The 18,170-nt window shown below is 40.2% G+C and overlaps 1 protein-coding gene across 1 annotated transcript in view, besides 2 other annotated features; it reads left to right on the top strand.

Moving 5' to 3' along the window:
* Positions 1-18,170, top strand: part of UBR1 (ubiquitin protein ligase E3 component n-recognin 1) — a 163,142-nt gene that overhangs the window by 25,572 nt on the left and 119,400 nt on the right. Inside the window, exons 4-6 of the mRNA NM_174916.3 lie at positions 5,378-5,488; positions 9,542-9,672; positions 12,431-12,569. Of these exons, the coding sequence (NP_777576.1) occupies positions 5,378-5,488; positions 9,542-9,672; positions 12,431-12,569 (381 nt within the window). The remainder of the gene's footprint in view (positions 1-5,377; positions 5,489-9,541; positions 9,673-12,430; positions 12,570-18,170) is intronic.
* Positions 2,955-3,762: an enhancer, noted in NCBI's record as "NANOG-H3K27ac hESC enhancer chr15:43368903-43369710 (GRCh37/hg19 assembly coordinates)". NCBI's record gives its function as "activates a minimal SCP1, AML or CMV promoter by ChIP-STARR-seq in primed H9 embryonic stem cells {active_cell/tissue: H9 hESC(primed)}" and the evidence as "EXISTENCE:reporter gene assay evidence [ECO:0000049][PMID:30033119]".
* Positions 12,528-12,587: a silencer, noted in NCBI's record as "silent region_6380". NCBI's record gives its function as "represses an Ori minimal core promoter by ATAC-STARR-seq in GM12878 lymphoblastoid cells {active_cell/tissue: GM12878}" and the evidence as "EXISTENCE:reporter gene assay evidence [ECO:0000049][PMID:35858748]".

Here is an 18,170-nt window from a genome sequence, read left to right as displayed (position 1 = left end):
GCTACATACTGTATGATTCCAACTGTATGACATTTTGGAAAAGACAAAACTGGGGAGGCAATAAAAAAATCAGTGGTTGCTAGTGGCTGGGGGATGATGGTGGAAGGGAATGATAAACCACAGCCTGTGGGTCAAATCTGGCTCACTATTTTTATATGGCTTCAAACAGCTGAGAATGTTTTTATATTTTTAGATGGTTAGTTTAAAAAAATGTTTCATGATACATTAAAATTATATGAAATTAAAATTTCAGTGCCCGTAAATAAAGTTTTATTGCAGCAAAGCCATGCTTATTCACTTTTGTATTCTCTGTGGCTGCTTCTGCAATACGGCAGTAGCATTGAGTAATTTGACAGAGGCTATGTGGCCTGCAAAACCTAAAATATTTATTGTTTGGTTCCTTACACAGAAAGTTTGCTGATTCTTGCTCAAATAGACACCTCAAGAAGGGTACATGTGTAGTGTTCCCTGAGTCCTGACATGTTCAAAATCAGACCTTTATAGCTTGGCTGGAAATAATATCCTTAGTTTGCATTTTCTTTACTTAAAAATACTACTCTGCTATTGTTTCATATGTTGTTACTGAGAAGTCTAATGCCAGTATGATTTTCTTGTCATTATGATATCTCATCTTTTACCTGAATACCCTCAGGACTTTTATTTATTTATTTATTTATTTATTTTTGAGACGGAGTCTCGCTTTGTCGCCCAGGCTGGAGTGCAGTGGCACGATCTCAGCTCACTGCAATCTCTGTCTCCCGGGTTCACTCCATTCTCCTGCCTCAGCCTCCTGAGTAGCTGGGACTACAGGCGCCCACCACCATACCCGGCTAATTTTTTTTGTATTTTTTAGTAGAGACGGGGTTTCACCGTGTTAGCCAGGATGGTCTCGATCTCCTGACCTCATGATCCACCCGCCTCGTCCTCCCAAAGTGCTGGAATTACAGGCGTGAGCCACTGCTCCTGGCCACCCTCAGGACTTTTATCTTTAAAGTCAAATAGTTTTACTAGGATATATTTTGGAGTTGATTAGTCACTCAAGAATTCATGGGCCCTTTTAGTGTACAGATTCAGGTGTTCTTTTATTTGCAGAAAGTTTTCTTAGTTTATAGTCTTATTTTTAATTTGTTTTTACATTTTAATTTAATTCGATTATTTTTTTTAACCGAGACGAGGTTTCACTGTGTTGCCCAGGTTGGTCTCAAACTTCTGGGCTAAAACAGCCCTCCTGCCTCGGCCTCCCAAGGTGTAGGATTACAGGCATGAGCCACTGTGCCTGGTCTGTGGTTTTAAATGTTAGTTGTGTTCCGTTGTTTTGATTTTCTTCTTCGGTGACTCCAGTTATAGTGGCTTTCTTATGCCTGTCCCCCATTTCAATGACTTTCTCTCTGATCCTACTTTTTACTTCATCTCATTTTCATTCTCTTGTATTCCTGCTTTGCTTCAATGTTATTCATTAACTTTTCATTTGAGTCTATATTTTGGATACTTTGTAATGTAAAATTCATTTCTGGCATGATTTTCTCATCTTCTTGTATTTTTTTTTCCTGAGTTCAATTAAGTCTCATTTATTCCTGCTTTTTTGTCCATTTCTGTTTTTAGTTTATGTATTACTTACTACAGGTGCATGCCACCACACCTGGCTAATTTTTTAATTTTCTGTAGAAATGGGATCTTGCTGTATTGCTCAGGCTGATCTCAAACTCTTGGCCTTTAGTGATCCTCCCACTTCAAACCTCCCAAAGCATTGGGATTGCAGGCATGAGCCACTGTGCCTGGCCAGTTTTTCTATTTCTGATACAAGGTGTTTTCATCTGATTCAAGTCATAATCACCAAATGCTTGTTTGACTCCATGTAATTGAGTTTGGAGCATTGTGTTATAGTTTTCTTTAGCTTTGTGATTGGGTTTTGGCTCTTATTTGCATTTTTGCCCCTCCCCTTTTAATTTTTACATGTTTATGTGAATATGGGCTGCTTTTTCTGTTCTTTCTCATTTCATGCTCAAGGGTTACAAGTGCTCTCTTCTGTCAGTTCTTCCATTTTCTGTGTAATTTCTTTTTTTGTTGATGATATTAGTGGTGGTGATGTGAAGGGAGGGTTTGGCACGTCTTGTTTCTCTCTCATTTCTATAGAATTTTCCCTTATATCCCTTTTTCCTTCATTGCCACATCTTTAGGGGTTTCCACTCTGTAAAAATGTATCTGATTTTCTTCCAAAAGTACTGCTTCTCTGAGTTTGCCACCTCTTGTCCTTCTCACTTTCTTTGTGAATCAAGTCCCAACTCATGTTCAGGTTTCATCCCTTAGCATTGGGCTTTCTCTTTTGGGGGTGACTTTTTTCTGTGTTTCAGTGTTTCTTCTAAGTCCTCTGCACCTCTGTACTTTTTCATGGAGTCTTTTAAGCTCCCTTCTCTTGCTATCTGCACCCACAGGCTTGAAGGGATAGGCAATGGGAATTCCTTTGGAGTACGTCATATGAACGTTGTGGTAATTTTTTTTGTTGTTCTCCTAGTAAATGCTGAAAGTATGGATAATGTATGGTTTTAGTGTTCTCCTTATTCTTTTTATGTTTTGGAGGAAGTTTTGAGGAAGATTCAAAATCAGGTTGTTGCCATCATCCTCTACCTGAGGTAGTATATTTTGGATAATTTTTTTTCAACAACACTGAAAGGATAAAGTTTATAAATAAGTTTTAGTTGCTATGGGATATTTGTGTAAATTAAAATACTTTATACATTTCTTAAGTACTATGTAATCATCATGAGTTTTTTTATTTTATTTTTATTTTTATTTTTTTTTTTCTCAGATTTTTTTTTTTTTAATTGATCATTCTTGGGTGTTTCTCCCAGAGGGGGATTTGGCAGGGTCATAGGACAATAGTGGAGGGAAGGTCAGCAGATAAACAAGTGAACAAAGGTCTCTGGTTTTCCTAGGCAGAGGACCCTGCGGCCTTCCGCAGTGTTTGTGTCCCTGGGTACTTAAGATTAGGGAGTGGTGATGACTCTTAACGAGCATGCTGCCTTCAAGCATCTGTTTAACAAAGCACATCTCGCACCCTTAATCCATTTAACCCTGAGTGGACACAGCACATGTTTCAGAGAGCACAAGGTTGGGGATAAGGTCACAGATCAACAGGATCCCAAGGCAGAAGAATTTTTCTTAGTACAGAACAAAATGAAAAGTCTCCCATGTCTACTTCCATCCACACAGACCCGGCAACCATCCGATTTCTCAATTTCCTCCCCACCCTTCCCGCCCTTCTATTCCACAAAACCGCCATTGTCATCATGGCCCATCCCCAATGAGCCGCTGGGCACACCTCCCAGACGGGGTCGTGGCCGGGCAGAGGGGCTCCCCACTTCCCAGTAGGGGCGGCCGGGCAGAAGCGCCCCTCACCTCCCGGATGGGGCGGCTGGCCGGGCGGGGGGCTGACCCCCCCACCACCCTCCCCGACGGGGCGGCTGGCCAGGCAGAGGGGCTCCTCACTTCCCAGTAGGGGCGGCCGGGCAGAGGCGCCCCTCACCTCCTGGATAGGGCGGCTGGCCGGGCGGGGGGCTGACCCCCCCACCTCCCTCCCGGACGGGGCGGCTGGCCGGGCAGAGGGGTCCTCACTTCCCAGTAGGGGCGGCCGGGCAGAGGCGCCCCTCACCTCCCGGACGGGGCGGCTGGCCGGGCGGGGGGCTGACCCCCTCCCACCTCCCTCCCGGACGCGGTGGCTGCCAGGCGGAGACGCTCCTCACTTCCCAGACGGGGTGGCTGCCGGACGGAGGGGCTCCTCACTTCTCAGACGGGGCGGTTGCCAGGCAGAGGGTTTCCTCACTTCTCAGACGGGGCGGCCGGGCAGAGAGGCTCCTCACCTCCCAGACAGGGTTGCGGCCCAGCAGAGGCGCTCCTCACATCCCAGACAGGGCGGCGGGGCAGAGGCGCTCCCCACATCTCAGACGATGGGCGGCCGGGCAGAGACGCTCCTCACTTCCCAGATGGGATGGCGGCGGGGAAGAGGCGCTCCTCGCTTCCTAGATGGGATGGCGGCCGGGCAGAGACGCTCCTCACTTCCCAGACGGGGTGGCGGCCGTGCAGAGGCTGCAATCTCGGCACTTTGGGAGGCCAAGGCAGGCGGCTGGGAGGTGGAGGTTGTAGCGAGCTGAGATCACGCCACTGCACTCCAGCCTGGGCACCATTGAGCACTGAGTGAACGAGACTCCGTCTGCAATCCCGGCGCCTCGGGAGGCCGAGGCTGGCGGATCACTCGCGGTTAGGGGCTGGAGACTGGCCCGGCCAACACAGCAAAACCCCGTCTCCACCAAAAAAAAAAAAAACGAAAACCAGTCAGGCGTGGCGGCGCGCGCCTGCAATCGCAGGCACTCTGCAGGCTGAGGCAGGAGAATCAGGCGGGGAGGTTGCAGTGAGCCGAGATGGCAGCAGTACCGTCCAGCTTTGGCTCGGCATCAGAGGGAGACCATGGAAGGAGACCGTGGAGAGAGGGAGAGGGAGAGGGAGAGGGAGAGGGCATGAGTTTTTTTAAGTTTGTTTAATTAAAAAAATCTTATCAGGTTGGGCATGGTGGCTTATGCCTATAATCCCAGCACTTTGGCAGGCTGAGGCGGGCGGATCACCTGAGGTCGGGAGTTTGAGACCAGCCTGACCAACGTAGAGAAACCCCGTCTCTACTAAAAATACAAAATTAGCCAGGCGTGGTGGTGCATGCCTGTAGTCCCAGCTACTTGGGAGGCTGAGGCAGGAGAATCGCTTGAACCCGGGAGGCAGAGGTTGCGGTGAGCCAAGATCACGCCATTGCACTCCAGCCTGGGCAACAAAAGCGAAACTCCATCTCAAAAAAAAAAAAAAATCTTATCACTCAAAAATTCTAGGGGGGAGTGGGGAGGGATAGCATTGGGAGATATACCTAATGCTAGATGACGAGTTAGTGGGTGCAGCACACCAGCATGGCACATGTATACGTATGTAACTAACCTGCACAATGTGCACATGTACCCTAAAACTTAAAGTATAACAATTAAAAAAAAAATTCTAGGTGTTGTATAGATTATTTTCGCACACTTTGCAATCTATTCTTCTCCATTAGTCAAAATTTAAACAACTGTTATTTAAAAATTAGAGTTATGTTTCAAAAGCTTATCAATTTTGGCAGTTCATTTTTGTTATGATGAAGTATTCAGAATTTGGAAGTTTTGGTTTGTTGGTTTGTTTTTTAGGTAACTAATCGAAAATGGTTTTTGTTACATCCAGTTAATATTACATTGAACTCAATTAAGGTTGGAGTATTGGTGAGCATTTATTATTTGAGTCATCTTTATCATTCTTCATGCTTAGTAAAATGTTTGAAATCAAGACAAACTCATTTTTCCTTTATCAGATGCATACTTCTACTGGAGGAGGGTTCTGTGACTGTGGAGACACAGAGGCATGGAAAACTGGCCCTTTTTGTGTAAATCATGAACCTGGAAGAGCAGGTACTATAAAAGAGGTAAGAATGCTATTTTGTTAAAAATTGTTAACTATTTTAAGTTTGCTGAGATTAGATAAGAATAAATGTTATGTGTATAGATTCCAGTTAGAACCCTGCTGTTTTTATTCTCATATTTAGGTGTAAGGAGGCTTTTTTTCTAGCTCCAAAGAAACTAAGGATTTGATAATGTCTCTAAAGAGAGAATGAATTTACAATGAAAAGATGAATTCAGAATATGTTTTGTTAAGCAATCAACTTGATACATAAGAGTACACAGGTCGGGCGCTATGGCTCATGCCTGTAATCCTGGCACTTTGGGAGGCTCAATCACCTGAGGTCAGGAGTTTGAGACCAGCCTGGCCAACATGATGAAACCCTGTCTCTACTAAAAATACAAAAATTAGCCAGGTGTGGTGGCACACACCTGTAATTGCAGCTACTTGGGGGGACTGAGGCACGAGAATCACTTGAACCTGGGAGGTGGAGGTTGCAGTGAGCCAAGATCATGCCACTGCACTCCATCCTGGGCGACAGAGTGAGACTATCTCAAAAAGGAAAATAGTACACAACATATAAGCCTAAATGAACAAAAGGAAGTAATTATTAATAGATAAGAGTAGCATATAGTGAATTAGAAGTGTAGAGCTGATATATAAATTCAGTAATTGCTTTTCTTAAAGAAAATGTCAATTAGATTACATAGATATATCCCAGTCAAGGAAATAAAGAAGTTTGAGCAAGCCCAGATATAGACAATTAGAAATGAGAATAGGAAAATAACCATAGAATCACAAATACAGAAGGAATCACGAGGATTATAAAATACTCTTTTAATGATTTTGTGCAATTACACTTGAAAATGGATTATCTTATCAGATAGTATAGAGTGCAATATTTTTATTAGAAAGCAGAGAGAAAACTTGGTCAGTTACATTGAAGAAATTCAGAAAATTTTCACAAGAAAGTACTTGCCCCAGAATGCCATGTTCAGAAGTTTTACAGATGAATTATTTCACAACTTCAAGGAATAAATAGTTTTTGCGCTCTTTAAACTGTTGTGGATATCCCTAAAGCAGCAAACACCTGTAGGGCACATATGTTGATCTTTTAAGTACCATTCTGCTCTTACAGCAATAAGGTATTTCTTGTTGTCAGAAATACCTGGTTCCAGGTCTGGGTCAGGGGAAGTATAAGGCAAGCTCATGCAAAAGAACGTAGGACCCAGCTTGAAAAGGTTCACATTGACCTTACTTGGATAATTGAAGCATCAAAAGAAAAAACAATAAATAACCAATATAATTGATTGAATCACATTGAATATATAAAAATCCGTGAGTTCCTAATGAAACCTAAATGAGAGCTAGATGAAGTAAAACCTGTTTCTGACAATGACAAGTAGCTGTACTATCAATTTCTTACTATTAAAATTGGTAAAGGGAATGAAGTAAGCGCTTATCCTGCCTTTTCAATAAGAATTGTATTTCATGGTAACCAAGTATCTCTAGTTCATTAGGAAAAGCTTTTCTTTCTAGAGAAATGCTAGCTATTAGACAAGGAATGATAGAACTAGAAAAATCAACATTTTGTCAACCATAAGGAAATATTTGATTCAGACAAGGATGCTAAAATTCTTAAGACTTAGGTTGATGAGGAACAGTATTTACATTTACATACTTCTAAATTATTGATTATTTGCTAGTCATAAGGGGAAAAAACTGAAACTTTACAATGGGGTTATCATACTGTCATCACCTGAAATCAGTCATTAATATTAACATCATCATTAATAATGAAGTGATATGGCATAATAAGCTTTTGTTTTTGTTTTTGTTTTTTTTGTTTTTTTGAGACAGAGTCGCCCAGGCTGAAGTACAGTGGTATGATCTCGGCTCATTGTAACCTCCACCTCCTGGGTTCAAGCAGTTCTCATGTCTCAGCTTCCCGAGTAGCTGAGATTATAGGCGTATGGCACCACATCCGGCTAATTTTATATTTTTAGTAGAGATGGGGTTTCATCACGTTGGCCAGGCTGATTCGAACTCCTGGATTCAAGTGATTCATCTGCCTCGGCCTCCCAAAGTGCTGGGATTACAGGTGTGAGCCACCACGCCCAGCCAGCATAATAAGCTTTTCATATGATATACAATGAAGTACATAGTTTTAACATTTGAAAACCAATCAATGTAATACACCATATAAATATAATAAAAACCACATTATCATCTCAGTAGATGTAGCAAAAACATTTGACAAAATCCAGTACCCTTTCAGGATAAAAATATTTCAACAAACTTAGAAGGGAACTTCCTCAACCTGATAAAGGACATCTATGAGAAACTCACAGTTAATATCATAGTTAATGCTGAAACAGTGGATGTTTTCCTCCTGAAGTCAGAAACAAGACAAGGATGTCTGCTTTTGCTATATCTGTTCAATATTGTATTGGAGGTTCTACCAAGGAATTTAGGGAAGAAAAGTAGTAAAAGGCATCCACGTTGGAAAGGGAGAAGTAAAACTAGCTCTGTTTGCAGAGGACGTGATTTTGTAGACACCAGTCTGTTTTATCAGTTACAACCATAAAATATACACATCTTCGGCCATAAAATACACACAACTGGTGGCTCACGCCTGTAATCCCAGCACTTTGGGAGACTCAGGCAGGAGGCTTATTTGAGACCAGGAGTTAGAGACCAACCTGGGCAACTGTGATTTTGTATATGAAAAATCCTAAAGAATCCATAAAGAGTCATTTTTTATTCTGTTTATATGGTGTATTACATTGATTGATTTTTAGATGTTAAAACTATGTACTTCATTTTATATCGTATGAAAAGCTTATTATGGTGGCTGGGTGCAGTGGCTCATGCCTGTAATCCCAGCACTTTGGGAGGCTGAAGTGGGTGGATCACTTGAGGCCAGGAGACCCTATCTCTACAAAAATTTTAAAATTAGCTAGGTGTGGTAGCACATGCCTATAGTCCTAGTTACTCAGGAGGCTGAGGTGGGAGGGAAATACAAGTAATTTTTGTAACATTATCTTGTATCCTGCAATCTTGCTGATCTTTTTACATTATTTTTTACATCTTGGCCAATACTTGTTATTTTCTGCTTTTTTTGTTATGGCCACCTAGGTAGTTGTGAAGTGGTATCTCATTGTGATTTGGGTTTGCATTCCCTGATGGCTTATGATATGGAGCATTCAAATGGATTTCATAACTCATTGGCTTGAACAAGCTTTTTATTAATGTTTTGTAATGAAAAGAACATTGCTTTTTTGTGGGAGTCAAAAGACCCAGATTTTAGTCATGTTTCTGCTATTTGTAAGCTCTGTGATCTTAGATGGGTTCCTTATCTTTTTTTTTATGGTTAAGCATATGACATTAATTTATCATCTTAACCGTTTTTAAGAATATAGTTCAGTAGTGTAGATATAGCGTTCAGTAGTATTAAGTATATTCACATTGTTGTGTAACAGATCTTAAGAACTTTTTCATCTTGTGACACTGAAACTCTTTACCCACTGAACAACCTTCTGCCTACACCCAGCCTTTGGCAACCACCTTTCTATCTTCTGCTTCTATTATTATGACTACTTTAGATACTTCGTATGAGCAGAATCATATAGTATTTGTCCCTCTGTGACTGGCTGGGTTCTATTTCTTTTCAATGTCATTAATACCTGTTCTGTCTTAGAGAGAGCCATGAGGATCTGGGGAAACAAGCTGTGAGAAAAGTCTTTGTAAGCTATAAGGGATAAACAGTTGTTACGTGATATCATCGTAATTAGCTACTCAGAAAGGCAGGTAGGAACATTCATAAGAGAGTATATCACTAATGGGGAGACTTCATGGTTCTGCCTCCTTTCTGTCATCAGTAACACCAACTTGGCCACAAGGGGTTAAGCTAAACTGATCTAAATATATAGCAACCCTCTTGAGCTCAACTTGAATTCATTCCTGGACGATGTTGTAATGAATTCAGCAAAGTGATTATTTTAACTTAACATTACCTTCCTTATCCATTTATTTGTATACAATCTTGACTAGTATGTTTTTCTCGGCTTTTTTATAGAATTCACGCTGTCCGTTGAATGAAGAGGTAATTGTCCAAGCCAGGAAAATATTTCCTTCAGTGATAAAATATGTCGTAGAAATGACTATATGGGAAGAGGAAAAAGAACTGCCTCCTGAACTCCAGATAAGGTGGGGAAAACTGTCAAACGGAACAAGTTTTAGTGATGGTTATTTGTATTGCAAAATGTGTGTTTGATAATTGTTTTTGTTATTTACTGCCTAATTATCATTATGAAAAATTCTTAGTGACTTATCTCTTGGGAATATTTCAAAATGTCCGTTTGTATGAGATACTTTGCTAGGCACCATCCAGAAGCTAAGCCAAAAGAGTAGTGTATCAGGAGCTTTGAATTTTTACGGAAAAAAAATCAACATTTTTGGGGTCCTGTTCTAAATGATTTATAAGGACCTAGCAGCCTCTCATCCCACTAGGTAAGTAAACTGCCCACTTTGATCCTGGCCTGGACTAATGTCTGGTTTCCTCAGGAGGTTCGTTAACAAAGATAGGGACTTTGGAACAGTGTATCTCCATTTAGCCCGGGTTTTTAGCTCTTGTCCTGATCAAGAAAAGTTTGATGGGAATGAGGAAATGGCCCTTTCCCCTGTGCCTTGGTGGTATCTAGGATTATTGAAATTATAGGGATGTAGCTTTTTTTTTTTTTTTTTTTTTTTTTTAGCTAGAACTCAGCAATTTCTGGTAGCCATAAGTCTTTCAGTGACAGTAATATTTGCTCTTAATTTATAAATGCAAAGAGGAATTCTGGACCTGATATGAAGATAACTTTGAGTTGTGTGAGAATTTTTCTACCTATGTAATATTAGGATTTTCACAAAATTGCAGCCCAAATCTAAATAGTCATTCTTTGAGTTTACTGGCTATTTTCATTTGTTTTGTTTTAAAGGGAGAAAGAAGTAAGAATTCTAATCAATAGAGACATTAAATGTACTATTTTGACTCTTATTAGGCTAAAAACCACTTGTGGAAATAAATGTCATGACAAACTGCATCCACAAATATGTTAATTTCCAACAGGTGTTAATGTCAGTTAAACCTTTTAAGTCACTTTATGTTGGTAAACATAATATGAGCCATCTGCCCATAAAAAAACGAGGATTGCTTGAGTGTCATTTTTTATGTGGGTAGCACGGGTCTTTGGGTTCACACATCTGAGTTCTAGGCCCTCTCATTGCCTGTTGGCATTGTGACCATGACATATTGGCCTTTTAACCCCTTTAGTCTCTGTTTTCTAAAACATAAGAGGGCTGAGAAAATATGCCCCTCAGAGTTTTGAGGATCAATTGAGCGTATTGTAAAAGTATATTACATATTGTTTAAAACTGGGAACATAGGCCGGGCGCGGCGGCTCACGCCTGTAATCCCAGCACTTTGGGAGGCCGAGGTGGGTGGATCACGACGTCAGGAGATCGAGACCATCCTGGCTAGCATGGTGAAACCCTGTCTCTACTAAAAATACAAAAATTAGCTGGGCATCATGGCGGGCCCCCGTGGTCCCAGCTGCTTGGTAGGCTGAGGCATGAGAATGGCGTGAACCCAGGAGGCAGAGCTTGCAGTGAGCCGAGATTGCGCCACTGCACTCCAGCCTGGGTGACAGAGCGAGACCGTCTCAAAAAAAAAAAAAAATACTGAACACATATGTAGCCCGTGGCAGCTGTTTTTACATATCTTGTGAGATCCTCATAACACTCTTGAATGTAGATATTATGTTCCTTTTGGAGATGAAAAAGCACTGTCATCTCAGCAAGATTAAAAGATTAGGTGAGCTGTCTTAAGGTCCTGTTGCCAAAATGGCAGTGCTGGCGCTTAAGTCTATACTGTATACTTCTTGAAACTAACTTAAATGTACATTAATACCAGTATCACTTAAATAGAAGGTAAAAACAAAAATAAATTCAATAACAACTAATTGTTAATAAAATCTGTTTATTTATCATTGCTTGCTTCAAGGTTCTGAGCCTGAGGCCTGTCTCCTTTTGTCAGAATAGGAGATAAGCAAGAGTTAAGGGTAGTATTAAAAACATACAGTCAGGCCGAGACAGGTGGATCACCTGAGGTCAGGAGTTCAAGAGCAGCTTGGCCAACATGGTGAAACCCTGTCTCTACTAAAAATATAAAAATTAGCCAAGTGTGGTGGTGGGCACCTGTAATCCCAGCTACTCAGGAGGCTGAGACAGGAGAATCACTTAAACACGGGAGGCGGAGGTTGCAGTGAGCTAAGATTGCGCCACCGTACTCCAGCCTGGGTGACAGAGTGAGATTCCATCTAAAACAAAACAAAACAAAACCCAAAAACATACGGTCACTGAACTGAGACTTTTGAAAGTAATATGAAAAATTGGGGGAAAAACATGGAAAAGGAAACATTTTTATCAGAGTTTTAAAAAGTGATGGCACTATACCACTTAAAATCAAATTCTGGGCTGGGCATAGTGGCTCACGCTTATAATCCTGGCACTTTGGGAGGTCAAAACAGGCGGATTGCTTGAGCTCAGGAGTTTGCAACCAGCCTGGAGAAAATGGCGAAGCATCTCTACAAAAAATACAAAAATTAGCTGGGGTGTGGTGACACGTGCCTGCAGTCTCAGATACTTAGGAGGCTGAGGTGGGAGGATTGCTTGAGCCTGGAAGGGAGTGGTTGCAGTGAGTCGAGGTTGCGTCACTGCACTCCAGCCTGGGTGACAGAGTGAGACCCTGTTTCAAAAAAAAAAAAAAAAAAAAAATCAAATTCTATATTACTTTTATGGTGTTACTTTCCCACAGGTTGGAAACTACACAGATGTTATGTATTAATTTTGTCTTTTTTTTTTTTTTTTTTACTTTTCCTTTATTTGTTGTAGTATCCAAATATATATGTTTTTTTTCTAACAGGGAGAAAAATGAAAGATACTATTGTGTCCTTTTCAATGATGAACACCATTCATATGACCACGTCATATACAGCCTACAAAGAGCTCTTGACTGTGAGCTCGCAGAGGCCCAGTTGCATACCACTGCCATTGACAAAGAGGTTTGTGGTCTCCTTTTGAATTGCGTTTCTGTTTTCTGTCAGCTTCCTGGCAGCCAGATGTTGACTGAGCCCTTGCTCAGTATTGTGCTAGGTCTGACCATCCTCTCCATTTATTCCTTACATCCTAGGTAAATTGGTTAGAACTTCAGTTTTGTGTGTATATCATAATTTTAAATAACTATTTATAACTTTCATCTTTTATTTTAAATAATTAGAAAGTTACTGAATTTATTTGGCAAAGCGTAGGTAAGAATGTCATCTCAACTTTAGTCTGGTCCTATAATTATTTATTGAATGAATGAATAAGTGTATGAATTATGAAAAGTTGGTAATTTCTGAGGTCTTAACATGATTTATTTAAATTATTTTTAGAGTAATATTAATTCTATGGCTCAGTTTATTTAACATCCATCCAGAGCAAAATGGGTTCTTCAAGTAATATAAGTATATAAAAGGAATATTAACCTCATCCCTGCCCTTGGGTGCAGTATAATCTAGAGTAAGAAATAGCATGACATTCGTCATTTAATTTTTTCATTTTTAATGTACTTTTTAAAAACCGCATGGTTTAATATAGAATTAGAATAGGTGGTTAACTTTCTCTGTGTTTCGTATGTATAGCTTATGTGATCGCAAATTATTAATGAAAAAGCAAACGGAGTCAAAAAAAAACAAAAGGGTACGAACAGCTAATAATAGCTAACATTTATGAAGTATTTACATATGTCAAACATGGTATACTTTATGTGTAATATCTCATTTAAGCCCTATAACCATAAGTCAACTCTTTGAGACTGATACTCATATTATTATCTCTATTTCATAAACCTGTGTTTATACCTGGAAAACTAAGAGGATCAATATCTTGGCACACCAGTAACCCATTCTGAGTACATAAGAATTCTGGTTAGAATGGCATTCTTCAAAGTTTAATGTTCACATGAATAGATCTTATTAAAAATGCAGATTCTAGGGGCCAGGTGCTGTGGCTCATGCCTGTACTTCTAGCACTTTGGGAGGCTGAGGTAGGAGGATCGCTTGAGGCCAGGAGTTTGAGACCAGCCTGGCCAACATAAAGAGACTCTGTCTCTACAAAAAAACTAAAACAAAACAATGCAAATTTTGATTTGCTATGGGGTATGCAGTTCAGTTCTTCATTTCTAACAAGTTCCCATTCACAATTGCTACAGAGAGAATAAAATACCTAGGAATACAGCTAATAAGGGAAGTGAAGGACCTCTTCAAGGGGAACTACAAACCACTGCTCAACAGGACACGAACAAATGGGAAAAAACATTCCATCTTCATGGATGGGAAGAATCACCATTGTAAAAACGACCATACTGCCCAAAGTAATTTTTAGGTTCAATGTTATTCCCATTAAACTACCATTAATGTTCTTCACAGAATTAGAAAAAACTGTTTAAAAATTCAAATGGAACCAAAAAAGGGCCTAAATAGCCAATATAATCCTAAGCAAAAAGAACAAAGCTGGAGACACCATGCTACCCTACTTTATACTACTAGTCTGTAGTAACCAAAACAGCATGGTACTGGTACAAAAGCAGACACATAGACCAATGGAACATAATAGAGAACTCAGAAATAAGACCACACACCTAGAACCATCTGATTATTGACAAACATGACAAAAACAAGCAATGGGGAAAGGATTCCCTATTCAATAAATGGTGCTAGGATAACTGGCTAGCCATATGCAGAAAATTGAAACTGGACCCCTTCCCTATACCTTATACAAAAATTAACTCAAGATAGATTAAAGACTTAAATGTAAAACCCCAAACTATAAAACCCTAGAAAAAAATCTAGGCAGTACCATTCAGGACCATAGGCATGGGCAAAGATTTCATGACAAAAACACCAAAAGCAATTGCAACAAAAGCAAAAATTAGTAAATGGGATCTAATTAAACTAAACAGCTTCTGCATAGCAAAAGAAACTATCATCAGAGTGAACAACCTACAGAATAAGAGAACATTTTTGCAATTTGTCCATCTGATGAAGGTTTAGTACCCAGTCTACAAGGAACTTAAACAAATTTGCAAGAAAAAAAACCAACAACCTCACCAAAAAGTAGGCAAAAGACATGAACAGACACTTCTCAAAAGAAGACATACATGCAGCCAGCAAACATGAAAAAAAGCTCAACATCATTGATCATTAGAGAAATGCAGCCATAAAAAGGAACAAGATTATGTCCTTTGCAGGGATGTGGATGGAGCTGGAAGCCGTTATCCTTAGCAAACTAATGCAGGAAAAGAAAACCAAACACTGCATGCTGTCATTTATAAGTGGAGCTGAATGATGAGAACACATGGCCACTTCGTGGGGAACAACACACTCTGGGGCCTGTCGGGGGTGTGGGGGTAGAGAGAGTATCAGGAAGAATCGCTAATGGATCCTGGGCTTAATACCTAGGTGATGGGTTGATCTCTGCGGCAGACCACCATGGCACACGTTTACCTCTGTAAAAAACCTGCCCATGTACCCTGGAAATTAAAAGTTGGAGAAAAAAAGGAAAGGAAGAGAATAGGAAAGGAGAACGAATCAGAGGAAGAAAGAGAAAAGTGGGCAAAGAAAGAAAAGGCAAAAAGAATAGAGATAGGAAAAGAAGACAGAAAATAATAGAAGAAAAAGAAAGTGAAATGGGGTATTTAGCGAACATTTTTTAGTCCTTCAGAATGGTACCAGATTTGGTCAGATGTCAATACCTATATTACTATTGCTACATTTTACTTATAGGTCATAGAAGGAACTTTAAAGGTTAATCAGGCTTATGATTTTCAACTACAGTACTAGTTGTACAAAGTAAAATCTACTTGGGATGTTAGATTTTCACAACAATTATTAAATATATATTTATACCCTGTCTCATTCAGAAAACGTTAGGTGGCTGTAATCACAAAGACCTTAAAAGACAATCTTTAAATATCCTTCTTAGGAGAAAAATGGAGCCTTTTGTTTTTGTCCTAGTAGGACCCTGTTTGATGATAAAGATGTAAGATAGGGCCGGGTGTGGTGGCTCATGCCTGTAATTCCAGCACTTTGGGAGGCTGAGGCGGGCGGATCACCTGAGGTCGGGAGACTAGTCTGGCCAACCTGGTGAAACCCCATCTCTACTAAAAATACAAAATTAGCTGGGCGTAGTGGCACATGCCTGTAATCCCAGCTACTCAGGAGGCTGAGGCAGGAGAATTGTTTGAACCTGGGAGGTGGAGGTTGCAGTGAACTGAGATTGCACCACTGCACTCCAGCCTAGGCAACGGAGCGAGATTCTATCTCAAAAAAAAAAAAAAAAAGATGTAAGATAGGAAATAGTGAAAAACAAGTGAAATTGGCCATCCTTGTATTGAGAGAACAATATCCCTGGTTCTCTAACTTGTGCTTTTAGCACTTAGAAAGTTTGTTTCTCTGACTGCTTTGCTTGTTGGACAGCTCTCATTCTTAGAAAAATTTTTTTCCTGTTTTCAGCCAAAATCTTCCTCCATGTGTTTTTAGACTAATTTCTTATTGAACAAACCAGAAAAGCTCTTCTTTTGCTTTCAGATGGCAACCCATCAAATAGTTTTAAAAAACTGTAATTTCTTATGTTTGCTTTCCTCTGTTTTCTTCAACTGTCCTATGATAATAACCTCATAGTGATCAAGCTCTATTTCCTTCTCTCCACCTCCTCCCCCGGGTAAATAATAGTTTATCAAAGATTTTCTTAAAATGTGGTACTCTAAATGAGTTCACTAAACATTTATTAAAGCACTTTGAGGAAATACCAAGATGAATCAGATTGAATCTACCTTCAAAGGAGTATTCTCTACTGTTCTTATGAGAGAAACAGGCATTCAAATGCTGGGCACAGTGGCCCACGCCTGTAATCCCACCACTTTGGGAGGCTGAGGTGGGCGGATCTCCTGAGGTCGGGAGTTTGAGACCAGCCTGACCAACATGGAGAAACGCCGTCCCTACTAGAAATACAAAATTAGCCAGGCGTGGTGGTGCATGCCTGTAAACCCAGCTACTTGGGAGGCTGAGGCAGGAGAATCACTTGAACCCAGGAGGTGGAGGTTGCAGTGAGCCAAGATCACACCATTGCATCCATTGCATCCAGCCTGGGCAACGATGAACGAAACTCCATCTCAAAAAATAATAATTAAAAAAAAAAAAGGCAGGCATTCTGAAAAAATTTAAAGATGTAATAGTGCTCTTTTTAAAGTTCATATTTTTAAAAAATTAATTTTATTTTAAGAGACAGGGTCTCAGTATGTTGCCCACACTTGTCTTCAACTCCTGGGCTCAGGTGATTCACCCACCTTGGCCTCCCAAAGTGCTGGGATTACAGGTGTGAGCCACTGCACTTGGCTCCTGGGTCACATTTTTGCCGTCTTATGTACAAGGTTAATATTGCAGATTGTAAGGGAAAATCTTGGTAGATATCAAGATATATTATTGTGGTAGGATTACTGTGAGCTATCATGATCGTAGGACTCTAAAAAAACACATACCAGTAGGATAAACCAGTGTCCCAGGAGAAGAATTAGCTTGGGAAAGCGTGGGGCTGTGCTTTGTCGGTTTTCATATGGAACGGAAAGATCTGTGTCTCCCAGTGTTTGCCCTATCTCTTCTTAGCCTTTATTCCTGTTACTGCTCTCCTCTATAGTCAAAGTGGAGAAGGCCTGTAGCTACAGCTAATCTATCTACTGATAGGTTGTCTTGTTTTGGGGTCCCAAAGCTCCATAAGGTGATGGTGATTGCAAGAAAAGCTTTTTAATAAATGATTATTCAAAAGGTAAAATAGGACATGAGATAATGTTGTACACCCAATTGAAGTAAAAAATGTACTCCTTGGCTAGAAGAAACTGTGTTGCAGTTAGTCTGTTTTACAAACCCTTAAAGATACACACTTGTAGTTCTGTGTTTTCAGCTATAGTATGAGGATAAAGGTAACCTATTAGAAATCACTTGGAAATAATTTTTTTTTTTTCAGAGTAGACATGCCAGCCCAAGCCTAGGAAATCAGAATTGGGAGTATGGGGAAGAGAAGAGGAAAGAAATGCCCACGTATTTTAAAAACACTGCCTCCCTTCAGTTGATCTACTCCCACCCCTGTATTTTTTGGTCATTAAGAAAGGTTATTTTTGTTGGATTCCTGTAGTCCCAGCTACTTAGGAGGCTGAGCCTGGGAGTTCAAGGCTGTAGTGAGCTTTGATCACACCGCTGCCTTCCAGCCTGAACAACAGAGTGAGACCCCATCTCCATTCAGTCAATCAATAACATTTTTAATGGTGGTAAAATCTACATAACATAAAATTTACCATTTTAATCTTTTTCTAGGTGTACCATATACTAGTGTTAACTATCTTGTCGTGCAACAGATCTCTAGAACTTTTCCATCTTGCAAAACTGAAACTTTATATCCATTGAACAATTCCCCCTTTTCCCCTCCCTCTATCCCCTGGCAACCACCAATTCTACTTTCTAAGAGCTTGACTATTTTAGATATCTCATACAAATGAGATCATGCAGTATTTGTCTGTTTGTATATATATATACACATATATACATATATGTACAGTATTGTACTGTATA

The sequence above is a fragment of the Homo sapiens genome, chromosome 15 (assembly GCF_000001405.40).
Source record: "Homo sapiens chromosome 15, GRCh38.p14 Primary Assembly".
Taxonomy (NCBI): Eukaryota; Metazoa; Chordata; class Mammalia; order Primates; family Hominidae; genus Homo; species Homo sapiens.
Note: the sequence above shows the minus strand (reverse complement) of the source record. Positions and strands in the feature narration are given on the sequence as shown.